Source organism: Homo sapiens, chromosome 9 (assembly GCF_000001405.40).
Source record: "Homo sapiens chromosome 9, GRCh38.p14 Primary Assembly".
Classification (NCBI taxonomy): Eukaryota; Metazoa; Chordata; class Mammalia; order Primates; family Hominidae; genus Homo; species Homo sapiens.
Window position 1 is genome coordinate 126,010,982 of NC_000009.12, and position 1,145 is coordinate 126,012,126.

The window sequence follows — 1,145 nt, forward strand, 5'->3', positions numbered from 1 at the left end:
ATGTGTGCGGGCACTGTCATGCTTATCAGCAAGCGTCAATGTCCACCCGTGTGAAAAGGGACTCTCACTCTCACGGGCTGGGTGACTTTGGGCAAATGACTTCTCCTTTCTGTGCCTGGGTTTCTCAGTTTATAAATGCAGAGTGGCAGGGTATTCTGGGCTCATCAAATACAAATGTGATCTCCCACATTTCCCAGCCTCCCCGGCAGTTAGGCTGGGGCCATGTGGCGAGTTTTGGCCAATGGGCTGGGAGCACAGTGTGGCACTTGTCACTTTTGGGCTGAGGCAGTTCAGACCCATGGGGTTTTCTTCATCACTTTCCTTTCCCACCTTAGTGACCCCAGAAGCACCTGTTCTACAGGGCCTGACCACAACATAGAGAAAGGCCAGCACCCCACAGGGGGCTTTGTGTGAGTGTGAAATATACTCTTACCATGAAAAGCCACTGACACTTGAGGTTGGTTTGTTGTTGCAGCAAAGCCCATCGGATCCTAAGTAATGGTGATCATGCTCACTCCCGGTGAGTGGTGACGGGCACCAGGACCTCAGGAGTTGATGCGTCTGTGGGGATGCCTGTGGAGGCTGCTTCCTGGGCTTCCTGAGGATTCGGAGCTGGGGCAAGAGATAGCTGGTGGGTGCATTTTGTGAAAATGCTCAAGAAATTATTCTTATCATTCCTTAAGGAGACAAAATTTCTAGTAAGTTTAACTTCCAGACCCTCTTGGTAAAGGTTTTACCTCCCATGTAAGGGTGACTTTAGCAAAAATTAACAATTTATTGTATCAATGATGTGTTCCCGGTGGCTGAGGGCTGCTGAGATGTGGCAAATGGAGCCTGAGAGGGCCAAGTTCCCAGGGGAGGGGAGGGCAGCAAGGGGAGAGGCCTGTAGGATCAGGCTGATAATGGTTGCTCACCCCCACCCCAATCCTGACCATGAGGGCAGGGGAGGAGTCTGTTTGCAGAGTGTGGGGCCTGGAGCCACATGAAGTTTCTGTTGGGGGTCTAGACTTGGATGATGCAGGCATCATCATCATCGTCAGCTCATGTACAGAACCATCCATGTGCCAAGTCCCAAGCCGATAACTTTCTGAGCCTTAACTTAGTTCTCCCAGCATCCCAGTTGTCAGGCTCCCATGTTCCCAGTC